The sequence below is a fragment of the Homo sapiens genome, chromosome 11, assembly GCF_000001405.40.
Source record: "Homo sapiens chromosome 11, GRCh38.p14 Primary Assembly".
In the NCBI taxonomy this organism is placed as follows: Eukaryota; Metazoa; Chordata; class Mammalia; order Primates; family Hominidae; genus Homo; species Homo sapiens.
Window position 1 is genome coordinate 5,360,037 of NC_000011.10, and position 23,291 is coordinate 5,383,327.

Here is a 23,291-nt window from a genome sequence, read left to right on the forward strand (position 1 = left end):
AACTCTGGAAGAAAACCTAGGCAATACCATTCAGGACATAGGCATGGGCAAGGACTTCATGTCTAAAACACCAAAAGCAATGGCAACAAAAGCCAAAATGGACAAATGGGATCTAATTAAACTAAAGAGCTTCTGCACAGCAAAAGAAACTACCATCAGAGTGAACAGGCAACATACAGAATGGGAGAAAATTTTTGCAATCTACTCATCCGACAAAGGGCTAATATCCAGAATCTATGATGAACTCAAACAAATTTACAAGAAAAAAACAACCCCATCAAAAAGTGGGCAAAGGATATGAACAGACACTTCTCAAAAGAAGACATTTATGCAGTCAACAGACACATGAAAAAATGCTCATCATCACTGGCCATCAGAGAAATACAAATCAAAACCACAGTGAGATACCATCTCACACCAGTTAGAATGGCGATCATTAAAAAGTCAGGAAACAACAGGTGCTGGAGAGGATGTGAAGAAGTAGGAACACTTTTACACTGTTGGTGAGACTGTAAACTAGTTCAACCATTGTGGAAGTCAGTGTGGCGATTCCTCAGGGATCTAGAACTAGAAATACCATTTGACCCAGCCATCCCATTACTGGGTACATACTCAAAGGATTATAAATCATGCTGCTATAAAGACACATGCACATGTATGTTTATTGTGGCACTATTCACAATAGCAAAGACTTGGAACCAACCCAAATGTCCAACAATGATAGACTGGATTAAGAAAACGTGGCACATATACACCATGGAATACTATGCAGCCATAAAAAATGAAGAGTTCATGTCCTTTGTAGGGACATGGATGAAGCTGGAAACCATCATTCTCAGCAAACTATCGCAAGGACAAAAACCAAACACTGCATGTTCTCACTCATAGGTGGGAATTGAACAATGAGAACACATGGACACAGGAAGGGGAACATCACACACCAGGGCCTGCAGTGGGGTGGGGGTCGGGGGGAGGGATAGCATTAGGAGATATACCTAATGCTAAGTGACGAGTTAATGGGTGCAGCACACCAACATGGCACATGTATACATATGTAACAAACCTGCACGTTGTGCAAATGTACCCTAAAACTTAAAGTATAATAATAAAAGAAAGAAAGAAAGAAATCTGCTGCAAAAAGGCCATCCTCCCTACATTTTCTTTTCTACCCCTATGTGATGCTTAAAATAAATCTTATTTCTGGAGATGTGGCTAATTCCCTAACCTAGATGCAGGAAGAAACCTTAGCGACTCCTGTTCCAAAGTTCTAAATCCCTCAGGCTGGGAGAATAAAGAAGGAGGGAGGAGAGAGGAGTGGGCCGTAGGGAGGAGTTTCTGAAACTAATTTTCTTTGCAGCTTGGCTTCTGAGTATAGTCTAAAAAGTTGGTGTTGGATCCAATATCTTGACCAGGCTTAGGGGTTCATAGTCACATCTGTGGCAACAATGAACAGACTTATGAACAGGTCGGTAAAGAACTCCAGTGTGTCTTGGCCTAGAGGCTCCGCATAGGAATGAGCAGTAGACGGTTGGCTTATCAGAGATTGCAGAGAGGGAAATGCAGTAATGTATCAGTCAAGATGTGATGGGGTATAAGAATCTATCATCCCAAAGACTCCCTAAAATCTTTAGAACTTGGCTTCTGAATAATCTCTTTTGCAAATTCCTAGAAGAGGGAAAATCCTAGATCTCCTTTTTCATTCCCTAGCAGAGTGATCTAGTTAGGAAAAAATCAAGTTGAAAATCCACGGGAATACAGAATGATATCTCTGGTGTAGTTCCAGACTCTGGTTTGGATTATCTATTTCCTTTGTTGCTCTCTTCGGGCTGCATAAACCAGCTTCCTCTTTGCCTCTATGTGTTCTACCAAGTACTTACTCCCAAAAAAGATGAAGTTAGAGTGAGGATAGGGGACACTGTAATGACAAGGGTATAGACTAACAGAAAGAAAAACTTACCAAATAGATTAGTGTCAGATTGAGTAAAGCAAACTTTGACATGAGGCACAATGCTTTAAATTGCTGCATATTCCCAGAAATGAGCCTAGTATCCATCAGAAAATGTATGCAAATCCTTATAAACCAAAGTCAGAGAGAGCTTGTTGGTTCACTTCATTCCATGCTGAGCTATCAGCACTGCAGATTTTGAAGATCTCAACCACACCCAGATAGAGAGTGATAGTGGATCCCGTGTTTCTGTCGGGGGATGGGAGTAGATAAGGAAAAGTGTTTACTATTTTTACCAGCAGGGGAAACTACCCAGATGAAAATGGTGCTGGATGCTTTGGGCAAAAAGCCATTCAGAGCCATAATCAACTACGAAGATGGTCAGGAATTTAGTGTATTTGTAGATCAGATGATCAGTCTATGGCTTTGGAAAATTGTGAACATTAGTTGTTGAGCCTTATAATGAGAATGTGATGATTAAATCAGGTCTACTGGATACTATGAATCAGAATAGATAACATTGTTAGATATAATTACCTAGTCAGAGAGCAGAGATGAAGTCAGGAAAGCAAAAGATAAGAAATAACAGAAGTCTTCTGGTGGCAGAGTGGTGGCTTAGCCTGCTGGGGCAAAATGGAGCTCAAGGCCATGAGCAGATACAACAGCCCGGTCAACCCAGCTGTCTTCCCCCATCTGATTGTAGAGCTTTTGGCCATCGACATGTTCTTCACCACCTGGTTCTTTGTTTACGAGGTCACCTCTACCAAGTACACTTGTGATATCTATAAAGAGTATCTCCTTGGTGGCCTCACTCTTCATGGGCTTTGAAGTCCTCTTCCTGATGCTCTGGGTTGGCATCTACATGTGAGTGCCCAAGAGTAACAACCAGGTGGCTTCACTGAATCCCTGCTTTTGTAAATTAAGTTTTCTTTCTATTGCTGGAAGTGTCCCGCCTGTTGCTTATAATAAATGCAGATGTATGGCATTAAAAAAAAAAAAGAAATAATAGAAGTTAGGCAGGGATTGGGGCATGAAGGTTGAAAACAAGGAAAAGGAGCCCAAGGAAATGCAAGTGTTGTAAAATGTGCTAAGTAGATGTCTGAGTGGCATTCCTCCATGAGAGAAAGCTTAAGGGAAGAAAGAGACCCTGAGTGTCTTCAAAACTCAAAGTTTTACGAACAGAATGATTAGTCTGGAGAAATCATTTTTCATCAATACAGGATCTCAAGTGTTTCCCCACAACGAACCCAACCCCTCACACACACACACACACACACACACACACACACACACACACACACACACCGGTGAGTGGACAGACATCGTTTTTCAAGTCATGATGCAGCAGTATTGGAATTACAGTTTTTTTTGGTTTTTGTTTTTTTTTACTTCAAGCTATGGTGTTGAGTACATGATCCTAATCACCAATTAATTGTTCCTTTAAGCCCTTAACCTCTTGACACACATACACACACACTCTCTCTCTCACACAAAAGCGCCACACACACAATCATAAACACACATCACCACCACTCAGCTCCATGAGGTACACTCACTACTTTTATTAAACCAAGCACAGATACCAAGTTTTTGAGTGTGAATGCAGAAAGAAGATATATTGAGGTAGATTTTTCTCATAGATACTACTAAGATTATATTGTCTGGAATCTTATGTGACACAGAAAAAGAACAACTCTGCCATTTGGCCATTTGCTTGTGTTTGGACTTGTGAAGGTCTTTCCATCATTCTGTTATTGGAAAGCGGGAAAGTAGCATTTTCATGAGGATTCTATTAAAAACTAGGGACCATATGCAATACATCCAGACTATATTTAGTGTACAATAGAAAGCAATTACCATAGCAATTATGTTCCCTAGCTGTCTTCTCTCTTTGCAAACCCCAGCCCCCACTCAGCATGACATGGCAGGTATAAAAATAGGCAACTCAGACCCATTTCTGTAAAGGAGGAGAAGCTTGTGTTAGGAATGGAAGAATGCCTGGGCTGGAGAACAGGGCTTCACAACAGTGTAGTGATAGATTCACCCACATATTATGTGATGTGGACCTCTGAGCCAGGTACTATCTCATTCTCCATGGTTGCAATAAGGTCGATTATAGATTCAATAAAGGAAGAGGTATCTCAACACTAAAGAAAGAGTAAAATTTTCAGGGTTCAACAAGCGACCACCTAAGGGCAAAATATTTTCCTAAATTTTGACAAACTTTAAGTTCAAAAAGCTCATCTAGCTATGACAAAGTTTGACATAGTTAGATGAGCTTTTGATCTGTGCACTTTCCCTCGACCTTGACCACCAATCTTGACTTCACAAAACCATTGGAATTTGGGGTGATATGGAGGCAAGCCAAATGCAGAAACAGGAGGTCATGGTAAGGCTATGATGCAGTTTAGGAGCTATGTGATGTGTCATTTCTGTGACAGGATATGAGAGCTGCACATCTTTCTGTTTAGAAATTCCTGCCATATTTGTAATTCTCAATGGTCAGTCTCCTTGCTGGACTATAAATTCAACTACATGCCAGCTTTAAGCACAGTGCTTTGAAGAGAGTAGGAGCTTAAAAAATATTCTGTATTAAATGAAAAAATAAACTAAGCGTGAGAGGTATTTATGTGTCTCTCTCTTCCTCTTCTCACTCCATCCTCATGTGCATCTCTGAATATCTCTGATTTTGTGCACTCTAAGGCAGCCCTCTAAGCTGTTTGCCCATCCAGCATATGACAGAAGACTCTTCAAAGTGAATGATCAAAGTCCCTTGTTTACAGGGTCCCCCCACCCTCTTCCTTCCTGAGCATGTGTTCTGGATATGCTGAAGCCAACCTCACAGGACTTTGTTACCTTTCCTAAGTTTCTATTGGTGAATTTCCATTTAATATAGTTTTATTAAATGATTTTAGTAAATAATTTTTAATCATTGTAGCTTCTATGGTGGATACACAAGGAGAAGCAGAGAGAGAGGGAAAAAAATGAAGTAACAGAAGGCTACAAGGGGATTTCTCAAGTAACTGCTTCTTCTTGTCATTCTTGTCACAGCAATGAATCTTGGGCAAATAAGGGACACTCAATAAAACCAAATGTGTCAATAATCATGCTTGTAATAACCTTGAATTCAAGTGGTAGCTTATCACAACTGCTAAATAACTTTTCTTCTTTGTCTGGTGAGTTCTGTAGACATTTAGAGTGTAGGGCTGGCAACTGTGTTTAAAATAAGTTGTCTATTATATCAGGACTCCATGGAAACATCTAGTGAACCAGAAGGGCTGGTGGTGAGAACAGTGTTATTAGAATACCACTGGTGTTTGCCAGCTGTGGAAAACATGGGTATAGAGCATACACTGATGCCAAAGGCAAACCAATGCATGGCTGGTCCCGGCATGGCAACAAGTAACCAAATATGGGATGAGAGACAAGATCAAGCATACTGTAGAAATCGCTGTGGAGAGATGCATTTAGATGAAAAGGTAACCCAATTCTGGTCTGCCAGTCAGCAACCATTTTCCTGTCTATGCACAGGATAGGATATGGCTGTACTACCTCGAAGTTTTTTCACAAAGCATATTGATACACAAAAACATTATCGAGATGCACATGACATCGGTTTGCCATGACAGGGCTCTTGGTGTGAATCTGACTACTGTCTTAACACACCTCCAAATGTGTTGAGGCCCTAATGAGAAACATCCCTGATTTTATTCAACCCAAACTGATACATTTAAATTGTCCTGTAATTATTTAAAAAATAGATATAAGCTTTTGAGGGCAGATATTATAATCCAGGCATCACCTCCATTACCCACATTGTCTAGCACATTATAGATGCTTAGTATGTGCTGGCTTGATGACAGGATGAAGTTTAAGTTGCTAACCATTCTTAGAGGAACTCTGCTTACCTCTTGGGTTCTGAAGGGTCTGACTGACCAGAGAGGCATGAAGGGGGCAGGCTCAGCATGATCACCAGCACTGAGAACCACACAAACTGAAGAACTGCTAGGTGCTGGCTAGTGGGAGACTTAAGACCAACCAACCACCCTATGGAGCAGCCAGGTAATCAGCATGTTTGGGGGCTGTTAATGGAAGAGTTGCTGAGGGGTATGCTTACTTGTCCAGTTGTGTGTGACTTAGAGGTGAACCCAGTGGGCAAAATAAGAAACAGTATGTGAAGAGGATAGAGCAAGCCTTAAGTAGGAAGTTAAGGATGAGGGAAACAGGAAGGAAAATCAGTAGGAAAGTATAGAAGACAAAGGAGAAAGGGCCAGAGAAACAGAAGGAAGAATCTGAAAAGGAGCTCAAGGGAAGGTTCCTCTGTGGGTAGCCTGTTAAAGAAAAGGCTACATTACAGACTCATGCCTGTAATCCCAGCACTTTGGGTGGCTGAGGCAGGAGGATCACCTGAGGGCAAGAGTTCGAGACCAGCCTGACCAACATGGTGAAACCCTGTCTCTAATAAAAATACAAAAAAATTAGCAGGGCCTGGTGGCAGATGCCTGTAATTGCAGCTACACAGGAGGCTGAGGTAGGAGAATCGCTTGAACCTGGGAGGCGGAGGTTGCAGTGAGCCGAGATCGCGCCATTGCACTCCAGCAGCCTGGAAGGCAAAAGCAAGATGAGAAAGAAATAGAGAAAGAGAGAGAGGTAGGGAGGGAGGAAGGAAGGGAAGGAAAGGAAGGAAGAGAAGAAGAAGAAGAAGGAGAAGGAGAAGAAAAAGTAGAGGAGGAGGAAAGGAAAGGAAAGAAGGAAGGAAGGAAATCAGGGTATTCACTTGAGATTCAAAGTCTTTAGAATAAAAATTAAAATTTGGGAAAATAAGTTTGTATTGATGACTAATTCCAATCCCAAGCACGGGTCTCTGTGCAATGCAGGACTGGGAAGGTTTAGGCAGGGGTGCTATCTGATTCATGAGACAACAGGCACAAAGTTTTAGTCCCTGCCTGGACTTGGTGTCATCTCTTGAGCACATGCCTAATGGTCTCCTAACATTCCCCTCCCAAAGTTTGAAAATGCTTCCACCTCCCGCTGCAGTCCATGAACCAGGATAAAATTCTCTAGCAGCAGAGACCAAAGACATTCTCTCAAGTCTCAGGAATGTGGTTCTGAAGGAAGAGAAGCTCTGCCACACATACACATGCCACCTTGCAAAGCCACTTAGTGACACAGAGTTTTAGTTATTTCATTGTGAACTGGAATAAAATCATTTTGAAAGGAGATTTTTGAAGTTAAAAGCATTGCCAGAAAGGAGTCACAATCCAGACCCTAAGAGAGGGTTCTTGGATTTCGTGCCCAAGAAAGAATTTGGGGCAAATCCATACAGAAAAGTGAAAGCAAGTTAATTAAGAAAGTAAAGGAGTAAAATAATGGCTACCCTATAGGCAGAACAGTCCTGAGGACTGCTGGTTGCCCATTTTTATGGTTATTTATTGATGATATGCTAAACAAGGGGTGGATTATTCATGCCTCCCCTTTTCAGACCGCTTAGCGTAACTTCCTGATGTTGCCATGGCATTTCTAAACAGTCATAGTGCTGGTGGGAGAGTAGCAGTGAGGACTACCAGAGGTCACTCTCATCACAATCTTGGTTTGGTGGGTTTCAGCCAGCTTCTTTACTGCAAACTGTTTTTTCAGCAAGGTCTTTATGACCTGTATCTTGTGCCAACCTCTTATCTCATCCTGTGACTGAGAATGCCTAACTTTCTGGGAATACAGCCCAGTAGGTCTCAGCCTTATTGTACCCAGCTCCTATTTAAGATGGAGTTGCTCTGGTTCAAATGCCTCTGACAAAAGGAACAAAAATGTTGTTTCTGGTATGCTAGCACCCAGAATAGAGGCACTTGCACAATATATGCATTCAAAAATGTATTTTTTTTCACTTGTGCTTTCTGCCTATATCTATTTTTATGTCCTCATGCTTAAATCTTGACCAAGGCTATGCATTTTCCTATCCTTACTCAGCAGTTTGTGAGGAATCAGACATTCTTCAAAGTTTCACTTCTACCAGAGTAGAGCTACTTCTCTTCTAATTATATCTTACACCCCACAACTAACCCAAGCTTCACTTGGTTCTTTGCTCCTATGGAGACCCAGGCTCACTCAGAACTCTCTTTCTTTGTTTTTTCCTCTGCCATTCAGATTTGTTGCATCTTCAACCAATAACTTAACTATGAACCAGCATGAAAAATCCTGTTAAGTGTTCTGTAGGCTTCTTGAAACCTATTGTTTCATGCTTCTTCATACAGTCTTATGCAGTAGTTTTGGGAATTAAACAGTTTGGTTTACAATCCCACCTTCCACTTATTGGCTGCGTACCCTATAGCAAAGCAATTTATCTTTCTGTGTTTTGGTCCACTCATCTTTAAGTGGGGATACCAATAGTACCCACATGGTTGAATTATTTTAATGATTAAATACATTAATATGTCTAACGTGTTCAATAGTGCCTGGTCCATTGTAAGTATTATAGAAATCATTGCTATTATTACTATAATCATCATTGAAAATTTTGTGAAAATGAGACAATTTGACCTTTGGGCTGAGAAGATACTCTGTCTAGCTCTGACAAAGAAAATAAAAACCTTTAAAAAGCTCTCTCACAATCGTAATACTTGAAGTTACACAAGATATTCTAACATAAAGACTTTGTGTTTTATTCTCACATGCATCCTGTGAGAAAGCAGAGCATAGTAGAGGTTTCAGTTTTATCTGTCAAGAGCAAAATTTGAGGTTTCTAAACATTGAGTTACTCAAAATATTATGCTTTAAAACTGAAGGAAGCAAAACCTCAGCATAGGCCTTCTGAAAGCTTACGATGGCTTTTCTTTTTTTCCCCCAGGGCAAAGTGTTCTTAGGAGCAAGATGTTGGAATTTACACCATTCTTATGTGGATTAAGAGAGGTTTCCTTCTGAGGATGTTGGAAGCCTCTGTTCAGGAACTTTTTCTTTCCGGATCATGCTTACAGATCTGATTACACCCAAGAAGCCTAAATTGTGTGTCAGCCAACTAGATGTGGACAAGATAGTTTTTAGCCTCCTTCTGGGACTAGATATTCATTCACCAAGATGAGTGCCTTTGAAGCAGAATCTGTGATAGGGTGGTTGGGCCACCTAGAGACATATGGCCATGACTAGAATCTAAGGTTAGACATACAGAAAGGATGAAGTCTTTAAAAATAGGCATTCATTCATTTATTCATCCATTCACACATATAACCTGAGTCCCTACTGATTTTCTAGTACTGTACTGAATGAGGCCAACATGATAGAAGAAGATATGTATGCCCATGTGTGTGGGGTAGTAGAAACAAAGTCACGGCTTAACAAATATTAATTAAAGTTATTATTACTAGTTAGTGGAATACTATTAACAATAATATTTTAGCAGCCACTATTTGCAAAATATAACACTTTTAGGAGAATTACATCTATTATACCTCAGTAAAACTCTATGAAACAGACTTTTTATATATTTTTTCTGGATAAAAAATAAAATCTGATAATTTGAGACATTTAAAAAAGTATACAACTAGTAAGTAGTTGTATTTTTAAAATTTTCCATTCACTATCCTAAATATGTCTATGATATAATTTAAAAAATTATATATACTCCATGTATATTAAATATAAAGTAAAGACCTTTTATCCTTACCTTTCTATCCTCCCTGGAGATAATTTCCCTTTATAATCTGCCATACATTTCTCTGCAACTTTTCTACACATTTATATATACATATATGAACATACTCAAATAAATAGTCCTATTGGCTGGTAGCAAGGGCTATGTGTAGCACTGTTATTTCCATGATGCCACACTAAAATCAGTGCTGCTTGTCTGCATTTTTGTGTTACAGTGAATGTAGACTAAAATCCAAAATAAGTCAACAGTTGTTAAAAGTGATGACCTCATTGGTTTTGCTATCAACATAGAAAGAAAGGGAAGACATTTTCTCAGGATTTTTACTCAAGGAAAGGCAGTGGGGAAAGAGGCTTTGGTATTCTGTGTCAATCTGTATCAACAAGATCTTCAAACCTCCCTCTGCATGGCCCCAGGAGAGTCAGTGTTCCACAAACCTCTCCTGCCATCTTATGGTTTGTACAGCATGTGCAAGCTGCTTCTATAGAAATGCATATAGAAAATACAGGTATATAAATGCTAGAGGCTACCAAGTTGTAATTTAAAAATAATGCTCATAATCATCAATGTATTTATTATTATCATTAACAGTCACAGTCTTTTATAGTAAATCCTAAAGTTGAAGGTTTGAATGTTTAATGCTATGAAATATTAAATAAGTGACGATAGTATCTTTTATGCTGACTGTCCAGGATTGGAAATGCTACAGCAAAGTGAGATAGGCATTTTATGTATATCATCTGCAAAGACTAAACTAAAATAGCTGGGTTGTCAGGTCAGAGCAATTTACAGGGAAAATTAAATTCAAATCTTCAGAGGATCATTTGTTGGTATGTCTCTGTCCAATTTGAGGGCAATAATTTAATGCCAGAAAATATCTATTCTTTATCTCACTCTCTTTCTTTCATTCTTACTTTCTGTCTTTCTCCCTTTCTCACTCTTTCTGTGTTTAGAAATGAATAATAGAATAACTAAATACATTTATTTAACAAGCGGTCATTGTTTAGTTGTTTGTTTATCTAATGAGAGGCTTCTCTATTTTAGCAACTACTGGGTACAAAAATACATTGGTGCATATATTCTCTGTTCCTATGAAGCTTGTATTTTAACGGAAAGGAAATAATAAAAAAGTGACAAAAATAATTACAACCTCATATAGCTGCTATGAAAGAAAGAAAAAATTTGATGCAATAGAGAATAACAAAATTTATGTAAGCTAGTGTGACAAATGCGGGTTCTGAGAGGAGGTAATATTTCAGCTGTGACCTGAGAGTTGTAGAGGCAAAAGAAGTATTGCCATAGTGGTATTGGTCCTGGAGCTCTGGTTCAATGAGCAGACAGAAGGAAGAGAACCATATGATCATACTTCAGGAAAAAGACTTACACATGATTGGGGCTACCCAAAGGGACTGGTTTTTCCAAGAGCAGATAATTTGAGTGATAAAAATAGTGATTTTGAACCCTTCCTTCTGCTAGCCCTAGCTATGGACCACCATGGATATTGAAGTAAGGGCTTTGTTTTGGAATTACTCTCCACACATTCTGAGGATATACAAGGGCACTGAAATATTCTAGAAAGTCCATAGCACATTCTGATGTTTATACTCTAAGCCACACAGCACCTTTCCCCGGATCTAGGGTCTTTCACATTAGGTTAATTTTTTTAAAACTCAAACACAGAAGTTCAAAAAAATTGAACATATAATTCTCATTCTCTGTGGCTCATAAACATTTAATAGAGACATTGATGAAACTGTAAAACCCTGAGTTGTAGGCCGGAGATATAAAATTTCAACATAAAGAATGAACAAAATGACCAGAGGCAGAGGTACCCTGAGAGACAGTGATAGCTGTATCTAAAGAGTACTGATATTAAAAATAGAGAAAAACATATATCTCATTATATCCAAAGGGTTACATAAGTTTTAAGAGTGGAAATAACATGAAGGACCCTAAACAATTAGGAAACAGAAATTTGACTTGCTTCAGATAAAAGCTTTTAAAATATTTTATCTGAAACAAGTAAGCTTGTTCAAAAAATATAGGATATATGTGTACATAGTGAGATGATTACTTCAATCAAGCAAATTAACCTATCCATCAATACAACACCTTCCATAGATACCTTTTGCTTTTTCTTTGTGTAAGGGCATCTAACATCTACTGTCATAACAAATGTTTAGTTTACAGTACAGTATTAAGTCTTCATGCCATACACTAGATCTCTAAACTTATTTATCCTATACAGCTGCAAGTTTATAACCTTTGACCTACTTCTCCCTATTTTCTCTTTCTTTCTTCCCCTTTTTACACTGTTTCTATGCATTTGACCTTATTTTTCTTTTGAGATTCCACATATAAGTAATATCATGCCTTTATTTGTTTCTGTGTCTGGTTTATTTCACTTAGCAAAATGTACTCTAGGTTTATACATTCCCCCCATCTCCTTTTTTAAGGCTGAATAATATTGTGATATCATACATACATATGACATATATCACAATATCATATACAGACCTGTCACAATGTCTTTATCTGTTCATCTATATATAGATACCACTTAGATTGTTTCCATGTCTTGGCTATTGTGAATAATGCTGCAATTAACATGAGAGTGCAGATAGCTCTAGAAAATGCGGATTTTATTTATTTTGGATACATATACAGCAGAGAAATTTCTTCATCATACAATAACTCTATTTTTAGTTGTTTGAGAAACTTCCATACGTTTTCTATAATGGCTATGTTAACTTACATTCCCACCAGCTATGCACAAGAGTTCTCCTTTCTCCACAGCCTCTCCAACCCCTATCTCTTGTCTTTTTTGATAATAGCCATCTCAACAGGTGTGAGTGATACTTGTGGTTTTGATTTGCATTTTCCTGATGATTGGTGATGTAGTGCACCTTTTCATATGCCTGCTGACCATTTGCATGTCTTCAGAGAAATGTATATTCAGATCCTTTGCCCATTTTTACTTAGGTTACTATTATATTTTTTCATATTTAGTTGATTGAGTTCCTTATATATTTTGGGTATTAGACTTGTATCAGATATATGATCTGTAAATATTTTCTCCCAAACTGTTCCTTTTGATGATTGTTTTCTTTGCTGTGCAGAAAATATTTAGTTTGATGTTGCTCCACTTGTTTATTTTTGCTTTTGTTACCTGAGCTCTGGCACATTTTACAGAAAACAATTTGAAAATTTGTATGAAACCACAGAACACCCCCAAATGGCCAAAACAATCTTGAGAAAGAAAAACCAACTTGATGGCAGCACACGTTCTGATTTCAAATTATATTACAAAGCTATAGTAACCAAAAAAGTATGGTACTATCACATAAATAGACACATAGACCAAATTGAACAGAATAAAGAGCCCAGAAATAAATTTACGTATATACAGTCCAGTAATTCTCAACAAGGCCACCAACACAATAGGGGAAGGATAGTCTCCTCAACAAATAGTGTTGGGAAAACTGGATATCCAAATGCAAAAGAATAAAATTGGACCTTTACCTTAAGCCATAAGTCAACTCAAAATAGATTAAAGACATAAATGTAAGACCTGAAATCACAAAACTCCTGGAAGAACATGTATAGAGATAGCTGCTTGATATCAGTCTCGGCAATTTTTTAGATATTGTCTTGATTTGAAGAAAATTTTCACTGGAAGTCTATATTGATCGATTTTTTCTTTCACAAATAAAGTTCCAGTTTTTGAGCCAAGATGGCCAAATAGGAACAGCTCTGGTCTACAGCTCCCAGCGTGAACAACACAGAAGACGGGTGATTTCTGCATTTCCATCTGAGGTATGGGGTTCATCTCGCTAGGGAGTGCCAGACAGTGGGCACAGGTCAGTGGGTGCAGCACACCATGCACCAGCCGAAGCAGGGTGAGGCATTGCCTCACTTGGGAAGCACAAGGGGTCATGGAGTTCCCTTTCCTGGTCAAGGAAAGGGGTGACATACGGCACCTGGAAAATTGGGCCACTCCCACCCGAATACTGTGCTTTTCTGACAGGCTTAGGAAATGGCGCACCAGGAGATTATATCCTGCACATGGCTCCGAGGGTCCTACGCCCACGGAGTCTCCCTGATTGCTAGCACAGCAGTCTGAGATCAAACTGCAAGGTGGCAGCGAGGCTGGGGGAGGGGCAGCCGCCATTGCCCAGGCTTGCTTAGGTAAACAAAGCAGCCAGGAAGCTCAAACTGGGTGGACCCCACCACAGCTCAAGGAGGCCTGCCTGCCTCTGTAGGCTCCACCTTTGGGGGCAGGGCACAGACAAACAAAAAGACAGCAGTAACCTCTGCAGACTTAAATGTCCCTGTCTGACAGCTTTGAGGAGAGCAGTGGTTCTCCCAGCACACAGCTGGAGATCTGAGAACGGGCAGACTGCCTCCTCAAGTGGGTCCCTGACCCCTGACCCCCGAGCAGCCTAACTGGGAGGCACCCCCAAGTAAGGGCAGACTGACACCTCACACGGCCAGGTACTCCTCTGAGACAAAACTTCCAGAGGAACGATCAGACAGCAGCATTCGCGGATCACGAAAATCTGCGGTTCTGCAGACACCGCTGCTGATACCCAGGCAAACAGGGTCTGGAGTGGACCTCTAGCAAACTCCAACAGACCTGCAGCTGAGGGTCCTGTCTGTTAGAAGGAAAACTAACAAACAGAAAGGACATCCACACCAAAAACCCATCGGTACATCACTATCATCAAAGACCAAAAGTAGATACAACCACAAAGTTGGGGAAAAAACAGAGCAGAAAAACTGGAAACTCTAAAAAGCAGAGCACCTTTCCTCCTCCAAAGGAAAGCAGTTCCTCACCAGCAACGGAACAAAGCTGGATGGAGAATGACTTTGACGAGCTGAGAGAAGAAGACTTCAGACGATGAAACTACTCCGAGCTACAGGAGGAAATTCAAACCAAAGGCAAAGAAGATAAAAACTTTGAAAAAAAATTTAGATGAATGTATAACTAGAATAACCAATACAGAGAAGTGCTTAAAGGAGCTGATGGAGCTGAAAGCCAAGGCTCGAGAATGACGTGAAGAATGGAGAAGCCTCAGGAGCTGATGCGATCAACTGGAAGAAAGGGTATCAGTGATGGAAGATGAAATAAATGAAATGAAGCGAGAAGGGAAGTTTAGAGAAAAAAGAATAAAAAGAAATGAACAAAGCCTCCAAGAAATATGGGACTATGTGAAAAGATCAAATCTAGGTCTGATTGGTGTACCTGAAAGTGACGGGGAGAATCGAACCAAGTTGGAAAACACTCTGCAGGATATTATCCAGGAGAACTTCCCCAATCTAGCAAGGCAGGCCAACATTCAGATTCAGGAAATACAGAGAACGCCACAAACATACTCCTCGAGAAGAGCAACTCCAAGACACATAATTGTCAGATTCACCAAAGTTGAAATGAAGGAAAAAATGTTAAGGGCAGCCAGAGAGAAAGGTCGGGTTACCCACAAAGGGAAGCCCATCAGACTAACAGCAGCTCTCTTGGCAGAAACTCTACAAGCCAGAAGAGAGTGGGGGCCAATATTCAACATCCTTAAAGGAAAGAATTTTCAACACAGAATTTAATATCCAGCCAAACTAAGCTTCATAAGTGAAGGAGAAATAAAATACTTTACAGACAAGCAAATGCTGAGAGATTTTGTCATCACCAGGCCTGACCTAAAAGAGCTCCTGAAGGAAGCACTAAACATGGAAAGGCACAACCGGTACCAGCCACTGCAAAATCAGGCCAAAATGTGAAGACCATCAAGACTAGGAAGAAACTGCATCAACTAACGAGCAAAATAACCAGCTATCATAATGACAGGATCAAATTCACACATACAATATTAACTTTAAATGTAAATGGACTAAGTGCTCCAATTGAAAGACACAGACTGGCAAATTGGATAAAGAGTGTATTCAGGAAACCCATCTCATGTGCACACACACACATAGGCTCAAAATAAAAGGATGGAGGAAGATCTACCAAGCAAATGGAAAACAAAAAAAGGCAGGGGTTGCAATCCTAGTCTCTGATAAAACAGGCTTTAAACCAACAAAGATCAAAAGAGACAAAGAAGGCCATTACATAATGGTAAAGGGATCAATTCAACAAGAAGAGCTAACTATCCTAAATATATATGCACCCAATACAGGAGCACCCAGATTCATAAAGCAAGTCCTTAGAGACCTACAAAGAGACTTAGACTCCCACACTTTAATAATGGGAGACTTTAATACCCCACTGTCAACATTAGACAGATCAACGAGACAGAAAGTTAACAAGGATATCCAGGAATTGAACACAGCTCTGCACCAAGCAGACCTAATAGACATCTACAGAACTCTCCACCCCAAATCAACAGAATATACATTTTTTTTCAGCACCACACAACACCTATTCCAAAATTGACCACATACTTGGAAGTAAAGCTCTCCTCAGCAAATATAAAAGAACAGAAATTATAACAAACTGTCTCTCAGACCACAGTGCAATCAAACTAGAACTCAGGATTAAGAAACTCACTCAAAACCACTCAACTACATGGAAACTGAACAACCTGCTCCTGAATGACTACTGGGTACATAACGAAATGAAGGCAGAAATAAAGATGTTCTTTGAAACCAATGAGAACAAAGACACAACATACCAGAATCTCTGGGACACATTCGAATCAGTGTGTAGGGGGAAATTTATAGCACTAAACGCCCACAAGAGAAAGCAAGAAAGATCCAAAATTGACACCCTAACATCACAATTAAAAGAACTAGATAAGCAAGAGCAAACACATTCAAAAGCTAGCAGAAGTCAAGAAATAACTAAAATCAGAGCAGAACTGAAGGAAACAGAGACACAAAAAACCCTTCAAAAAATTAATGAATCTGGGAGCTGGTTTTTTGAAAGGATCAACAAAACTGATAGACCGCTAGCAAGACTAATAAGAAAAGAGAGAAGAATCAAATAGACACAATAAAAAAATGATAAAGGGGATATCACCACCGATCCCACAGAAATACAAACTGCCATCAGAGAATACTACAAACACCTCTACGCAAATAAACTAGAAAATCTAGAAGAAATGGATAAATTCCTGGACACATACACTATCCCAAGACTAAACCAGGAAGAAGTTGAATCTCTGAATAGACCAATAACAGGATCTGAAATTGTGGCAATAATCAATAGCTTACCAACCAAAAAGAGTCCAGGACCAGATGGATTCACAGCCAAATTCTAACAGAGGTACAAGGAGGAATTGGTACCATTCCTTCTGAAACTATTCCAATCAACAGAAAAAGAAGGAATCCTCCCTAACTCATTTTATGAGGCCAGCATCATCCTAATACCAAAGCCAGAAAGAGACACAACCAAAAAAGAGAATTTTAGATGAATATCCCTGATGAACATCGATGCAAAAATCCTCAATAAAATACTGGCAAACCGAATCCAGCAGCACATCAAAAAGCTTATCCACGATGATCAAGTGGACTTCATCCCTGGGATGCAAGGCTGGTTCAATATATGCAAATCAATAAATGTAATCCAGCATATAAACAGAACCAAAGACAAAAACCACATGATTATCTCAATAGATGCAGAAAAGGCCTTTGACAAAATTCAACAACCCTTCATGCTAAAAACTTTCAATAAATTAGGTATTGATGGGACATATCTCAAAATAATAAGAGCTATCTATGACAAACCCACAGCCAATATCATACTGAATGGGCAAAAACTGGAAGCATTCCCTTTGTAAACTGGCACAAGACAGGGATGCCCTCTCTCACTACTCCTATTCAACATAGTGTTGGAAGTTCTGGCCAGGGCAATTAGGCAGAAGACAGGAAAAAAGGGTATTCAATTAAGAAAAGAGGAAGTCAAATTGTCCCTGTTTGCAGACGACATGATTGTATATCTAGAAAACCCCCTTGTCTCAGCCCAAAATCTCCTTAAGCTGATAAGCAACTTCAGCAAAGCCTCAGGATACAAAACCAATGTGCAAAAATCACAAGCATTCTTATACACCAATAACAGACAAACAGAGAGCCAAATCATGAGGGAACTCCCATTCACAATTGCTTCAAAGAGAATAAAATACCTAGGAATCCAACTTACAAGGGATGTGAAGGACCTCTTCAAGGAGAACTACAAACCACTGCTCAATGAAATAAAAGAAGATACAAACAAATGGAAGAACATTCCATGCTTATGGGTAGGAAGAATCAATATCATCAAAATGGCCATAATGCCCAAGGTAATTTATAGATTCAATGCCATCCCCATCAAGCTACCAATGATTTTCTTCACAGAATTGGAAAAACGACTTTAAAGTTCATATGGAACCAAAAAAGAGCCTGCATTGCCAAGTCAATCCTAAGCCAAAAGAACAAAGCTGGAGGCATCAGGCTACCTCACTTCAAACTATACTACAAGGCTACAGTAACCAAAACAGCATGTTACTGGTACCAAAACACAGATATAGATCAATGGAACAGAACAGAGCCCTCAGAAATAACGACGCATATCTACAACTATCTGATCTTTGAAAAACCTGAGAAAAACAAGAAATGGGGAAAGGATTCCCTATTTAATAAATGGTGCTGGGAGAACTGGCTAGCCATATGTAGAATGCTGAAACTGGATCCCTTCCTTACACCTTATACAAAAATTAATTCAAGATGGATTAAAGACTTAAACATTAGACCTAAAACCATAAAAACCCTAGAAGAAAACGCAGGCATTACCATTCAGGACATAGGCATGGGCAAGGACTTCATGTCTAAAACACCAAAAGCGATGGCAACAAAAGCCAAAATTCACTAATGGGATCTAATGAAACTAAAGAGCTTCTGCACAGCTAAAGAAACTACCATCAGAGTGAACAGGCAACCTACACAATGGGAGAAAATTTTCACAACCTACTCATCTGACAAAGGGCTAATATCCAGAATCTATAATGAACTCAAACAAATTTACAAGAAAAAAACAAACAGCCCCATCAACAAGTGGGCAAAGGATATGAACAGACACTTCTCAAAAGAAAACATTTATGCAACCAAAAGACACATGAAAAAATGCTCATCATCACTGGCCATCAGAGAAATGCAAATCAAAACCACAATGAGATACCATCTCATACCAGTTAGAATGGCAATCATTAAAAAGTCAGGAAACAACAGGTGCTGGAGAGGATGTGGAGAAATAGGAACACTTTTACACTCTTGGTGGGACTGTAAACTAGTTCAACCATTGTGGAAGTCAGTGTGGCGATTCCTCAGGGATCTAGAACTAGAAATACCATTTGACCCAGCCATCCCATTACTGGGTATATACCCAAAGGAATATAAATCATGCTGCTATAAAGACACATGCACACGTATGTTTATTGCGGTACTATTCACAATAGCAAAGACTTGGAACCAACCCAAATGTCCAACAATGATAGACTGGATTAAGAAAATGTGGCACATATACACCATGGAATACTATGCAGCCATAAAAATGATGAGTTCATGTCCTTTGTAGGGACATGGATGAAATTGGAAATCATCATTCTCAGTAAACTATCGCAAGGACAAAAAACCAAACACCACATATTCTCACTCATAGATGGGAACTGAACAATGAGAACACATGGACACAGGAAGGGGAACATCACACTCTGGGGACTGTTGTGGGGTGGGGGTGCAGGGAGGGATGGCATTAGGAGATATACCTAATGCTAAATTACGAGTTAATGGGTGCAGCACACCAACATGGCACATGTATACATATGTAACTAACCGGCACATTATGCACATGTACCCTAAATCTTAAAGTATAATAATAATAATAAATAAAATAAATAAAAAAATAAAAAATAAAGTTCCAGTTTATTTTTTCAGGTTTCCGTTGTTTCCTCTAATAATTTTCTTGTATGCAATGTGTCTTTTTCTATGTCTGCTTTTAAGATTGGCATACATTTGTTGTTTATGCCATTTGTAAGATATGCATTTAGTTGTGTTTTATTTTTTAATTGACATTGCTCAAGGTTAGCTAAAGATATGAATTAATAGATTTTATGTCCAGATGTTGAAACATTCAGTCAATAATTCCTCAAAAAACGTTTAATCCATTTTTTGTTTCCTTTTAGAATTCTAATTTCACATATGGTGGACAGCTTGATACTTTCCCATGAGTCTGGCTTTCTGGGTTTCTCTCCCTGGCGTCCTCTCTCATCATGTGATCTCCTTGCATGCACTTGCTCTTTGTCTGCTTTCTGCCATGTTTGGAACCAGCATGAGACCTTTATCAGATGCAACCGCCCGATCTTGGACTTTTAAGTCACCAGAATCATGAACCAAACAAAACTTTAAAAAAAAAAAATAAGCTACCCAGACTCAGGTACTCTGTTATAGCAAATCAAAATATGCAAAATACACTAAAACTTTAGCCCAACTTGGAGTGGGGAGAAGAGATGGTTTCCCAAAAGGGGTCTCTCTGAAAAGTTTTCACAATGAAAATGAAAATCGGTTCCCTTTCATAATGACTGAAGAGAGGTAGGATGTTACGAAAGAAGGCGTTTCTGAAAGAGTTGCTGTGGGAAGATGTGGAGACTTCTCTGTAAACCTTCCAGACTCTCTGTGCACACACAGATGCAGGTGTCCAGGGAGGCAGGGGGATGGACAAAATGAATTGCAACATGAAAATTTCTTAGGGGCTGTGGACCAGTCCAGAAGACCCTTTTGGCAATCCTAACTTCTGTGGGTCTCTCCAGTCTGAAAGACCCGCATCGATCTCACACCACAAAATGGAGTTCTTCTGGGAAGGACTTGTTCTAACAGGCCTGAGAGTGAGGTGACCTTGTGGCCATTTTCTGTGACAGAGACACCTAAAAAGAGTCTGTTGTGAGTCTGGAGACATTGAGAACCCTGTGAGTAAGGATTTTATTTAGGTCTGTTTCTGGTCAGAGTGGGGATTTAAGGCTTGGTCAATATGATTAAGACTAAAGGCCACACACATAGATTTGTGTGAGATTACCATCTGTAAAAATCTGAAAAAGCTAAGAAAACCTATCTCTCTCCATCAATTTTAGTTTTTATGTGTTTGTAAGATGTAGATATGTCTATTTTGTGCATGAGAGAGAGGAAGATCATCCTCAAAGGAAGAATGAACTGGTTGGCAGCTTTCAGCTGTGTAGTGGGTATTGAGGACACGGGAAGGTGGTGCTGGAAGAAAAGCCACATTTTCTTGTGCCCTGGGGATAGTAGGGCCTTGGTGCTGGTCAGAATTTAAGCCTATCCTTGGGCTGAATGCTCCCCCTGGTGGCTACATTGGAAAACCACAGCATGTGTACAGACCTTGGGGATTCAGTTCTCCTGAAGGAATCTCCTACTTCACCAAGCCTGGCTCAGTGGGCTGGCTAGGTATCAATTCTGGATAGAGGTTCCTTAAATAAAACTTATACTGGCCCCTTGAAAGCCAGGCTTTCCACCCCACCATACCCCCACCCCACCTCTCTCTCTCTGTCGCTCGCTCGCTGTTTCTCTCTCTCTCTCTCACACACACACAAACAATATTACATGCAATGAAAACCATTTGCACATTAACAAATAGGTACACTGTTACAGTGACACTTTTCACTTTTAGTAATGGATTTAGATTCTTTAATAATGAATTCTAATACCTTAAAGGTTAAGGCCTGAATGCCTCACACTAATGTGTTGATACTTCACCTTCCCCAACCATCATGCACCCACATTCACTTCACCTAATATTCGCATGATTACCCACAGTGATAGAGATAGGTCCGAGGACTTGCTCCTTCATTGTCCCCATCATCCTCCTCTTGGCCTCCAGGCTTCAGAAACTACCTCTGCCTTCCTAGCCTGGGCTAGTGACCCTATTTTGGAAACTTCGTTGAACAATCTAACATCTTTACTCAATGTGAGCTTCATAAAGGCAAGACCATGACATGTTAATCTGTCTATCTTCAAGTTCTTGATCAGAGTTTCTCACAGGACGCACTTAATGCACGTCAATGAAAATTGATGAGAATGTTTAATGTAATTTCAGTCACACTTCAAAGAGGACTATTTTGTGATATGATAAAACAAATCTAAAGGTCATTTAGAGCAATAAAGAATCAAAAATGCTGAGTTCTTTCATTTGGTTTTCAAATAAATCTATTGCTTGGAAACTGGTCCTTCAATTATATAATTCAGAGAAATAGAATATAAAGCTATTATACAGATGTTAGTTTAAAAAAGTAAGCAAATATTAGAGATCTCTAAATGGTAGGTTATCCACTAAACAGTATTGTTTATCTACGTAAAAAGCTGTCAATTACATATCTGCATCCAGCTCCATACACCAAAATAACATCTGTTTCCAGTGCAGACTTTAAATCCTTCCTGCATATTGTTAACAATGTACTCTGGAAAATATGATTGTTATCTCCTGCCTTTTTAAACCCAACCATCAAAATGTGTACCATGTTTGACATGTCATATAAACTCATTCAGGGTCTTGCCCCTGCCTACCTCTACTGTTTTATTCCAAGGTATTAACTCTCTTAAATGTTATATTTGATCACCGGAAAATCTTATAGTTCTCAAAACACATAAACAACTTTTCCTCACCTCCATGCCCTTGCTTACACTACCCCTCCTTTTTGGAAATACCTTTCTATAAAGCCCTATCTGTGGTTGATTCTTAATTAGTCTTCATAGCTCAGGTTGGGGCCTTCCCTGGCCCTCACCTGTGGGCCAGGTGCTACCCACAAATATTAATATAATTGCCATGTCCATCTCTTACATTGCGCTAAGATAGTTGTTTTCCTATCTTATGTGTGATAGATGCCCCTGAATAATAGCAATATTTGCTGTTGCTGGTAATAATAGCAGCATTGTTGCTGTTATACTGTCCTTGGCTAGGATCCCAGTGAAATAGGCTAAAATCATGTTCTTAATAAATGCAGGATTTTCTGAAATTTTTCTGGTAGTGGTGCCCTCTCCTACAAGCCTAAATGAAGATGCTCAGCTCCTTCCTATTGTACCGAAGCCAGAACCTTCCTCATAACTACAATTTAATAAGACATCCTGCTCTCTGCATCTTGTCCTATCACCCTGACTCTCCTACACTCTGGCCCTAACAACCAGTTACTTACCCGGTGTAAGGTGGTGCCACTTCTGTCTGGGTGTGGTCTGATCACAATGGCATGTCATAAACTTCATGGGTCTCTGTCCTGGTTTTAGATCTGTATGCCCCGTTTTGGAGCTCATCCCCACACAACTCTAATCAACCATGCCCTATTTAAAGGATGTAATACCTTGCTTCATGCCAGTCTCCAAGAGTGTGTGTGTGTTTGTGGTGGAGAGGTTGTGTGTGAGTTTTGAAAGAAAAGAGAAATGTACACATGACCTGATCACATTAACTCAGGTTCTGTAGCATAGTCTGGGGAAGAAGTACAAGACTATTTTTTTTTTTCTAAATGTTGATGGCATTTGCTACCAGAAAAGAAGGAAAAAAGTTTTGTAAAGGCTACTTGTTGTAGGGCTCATTGAAGGAAAGTCCAGTGCATTCAAAGATGAAGTAGAGAGCTTTGGGAAAGCCTGAGACACTGACCTGGACATTTGTTTGGGGTAGGATTGAATATGCAAGATTGACTTCTAGGTCCAAAGATATAGAGGCTGGCAGAGATGGAGGGCAAT

At 39.5% G+C, this 23,291-nt stretch overlaps 1 protein-coding gene and 1 pseudogene across 2 annotated transcripts in view, besides 2 other annotated features; one reads left to right on the forward strand and one right to left on the reverse strand.

Moving 5' to 3' along the window:
* The window catches only part of OR51B5 (olfactory receptor family 51 subfamily B member 5), a 165,335-nt gene that overhangs the window by 19,719 nt on the left and 122,325 nt on the right, over window positions 1-23,291 (reverse strand). The gene's annotated exons all lie outside the window — the stretch shown is intronic.
* On the forward strand, window positions 2,539-2,930 carry TMEM258P1 (TMEM258 pseudogene 1; annotated as a pseudogene).
* Window positions 16,144-17,343: a DNaseI hypersensitive site, noted in NCBI's record as "HS-107; observed in MEL cells carrying human chromosome 11; the nucleotide coordinates are approximate for this feature". NCBI's record gives the evidence for it as "EXISTENCE:in vivo cleavage assay evidence [ECO:0001075][PMID:12861010]".
* Window positions 20,504-20,984: a DNaseI hypersensitive site, noted in NCBI's record as "HS-111; the nucleotide coordinates are approximate for this feature". NCBI's record gives the evidence for it as "COORDINATES:sequence alignment evidence [ECO:0000200][PMID:19958188, PMID:17654503]" and "EXISTENCE:in vivo cleavage assay evidence [ECO:0001075][PMID:12861010]".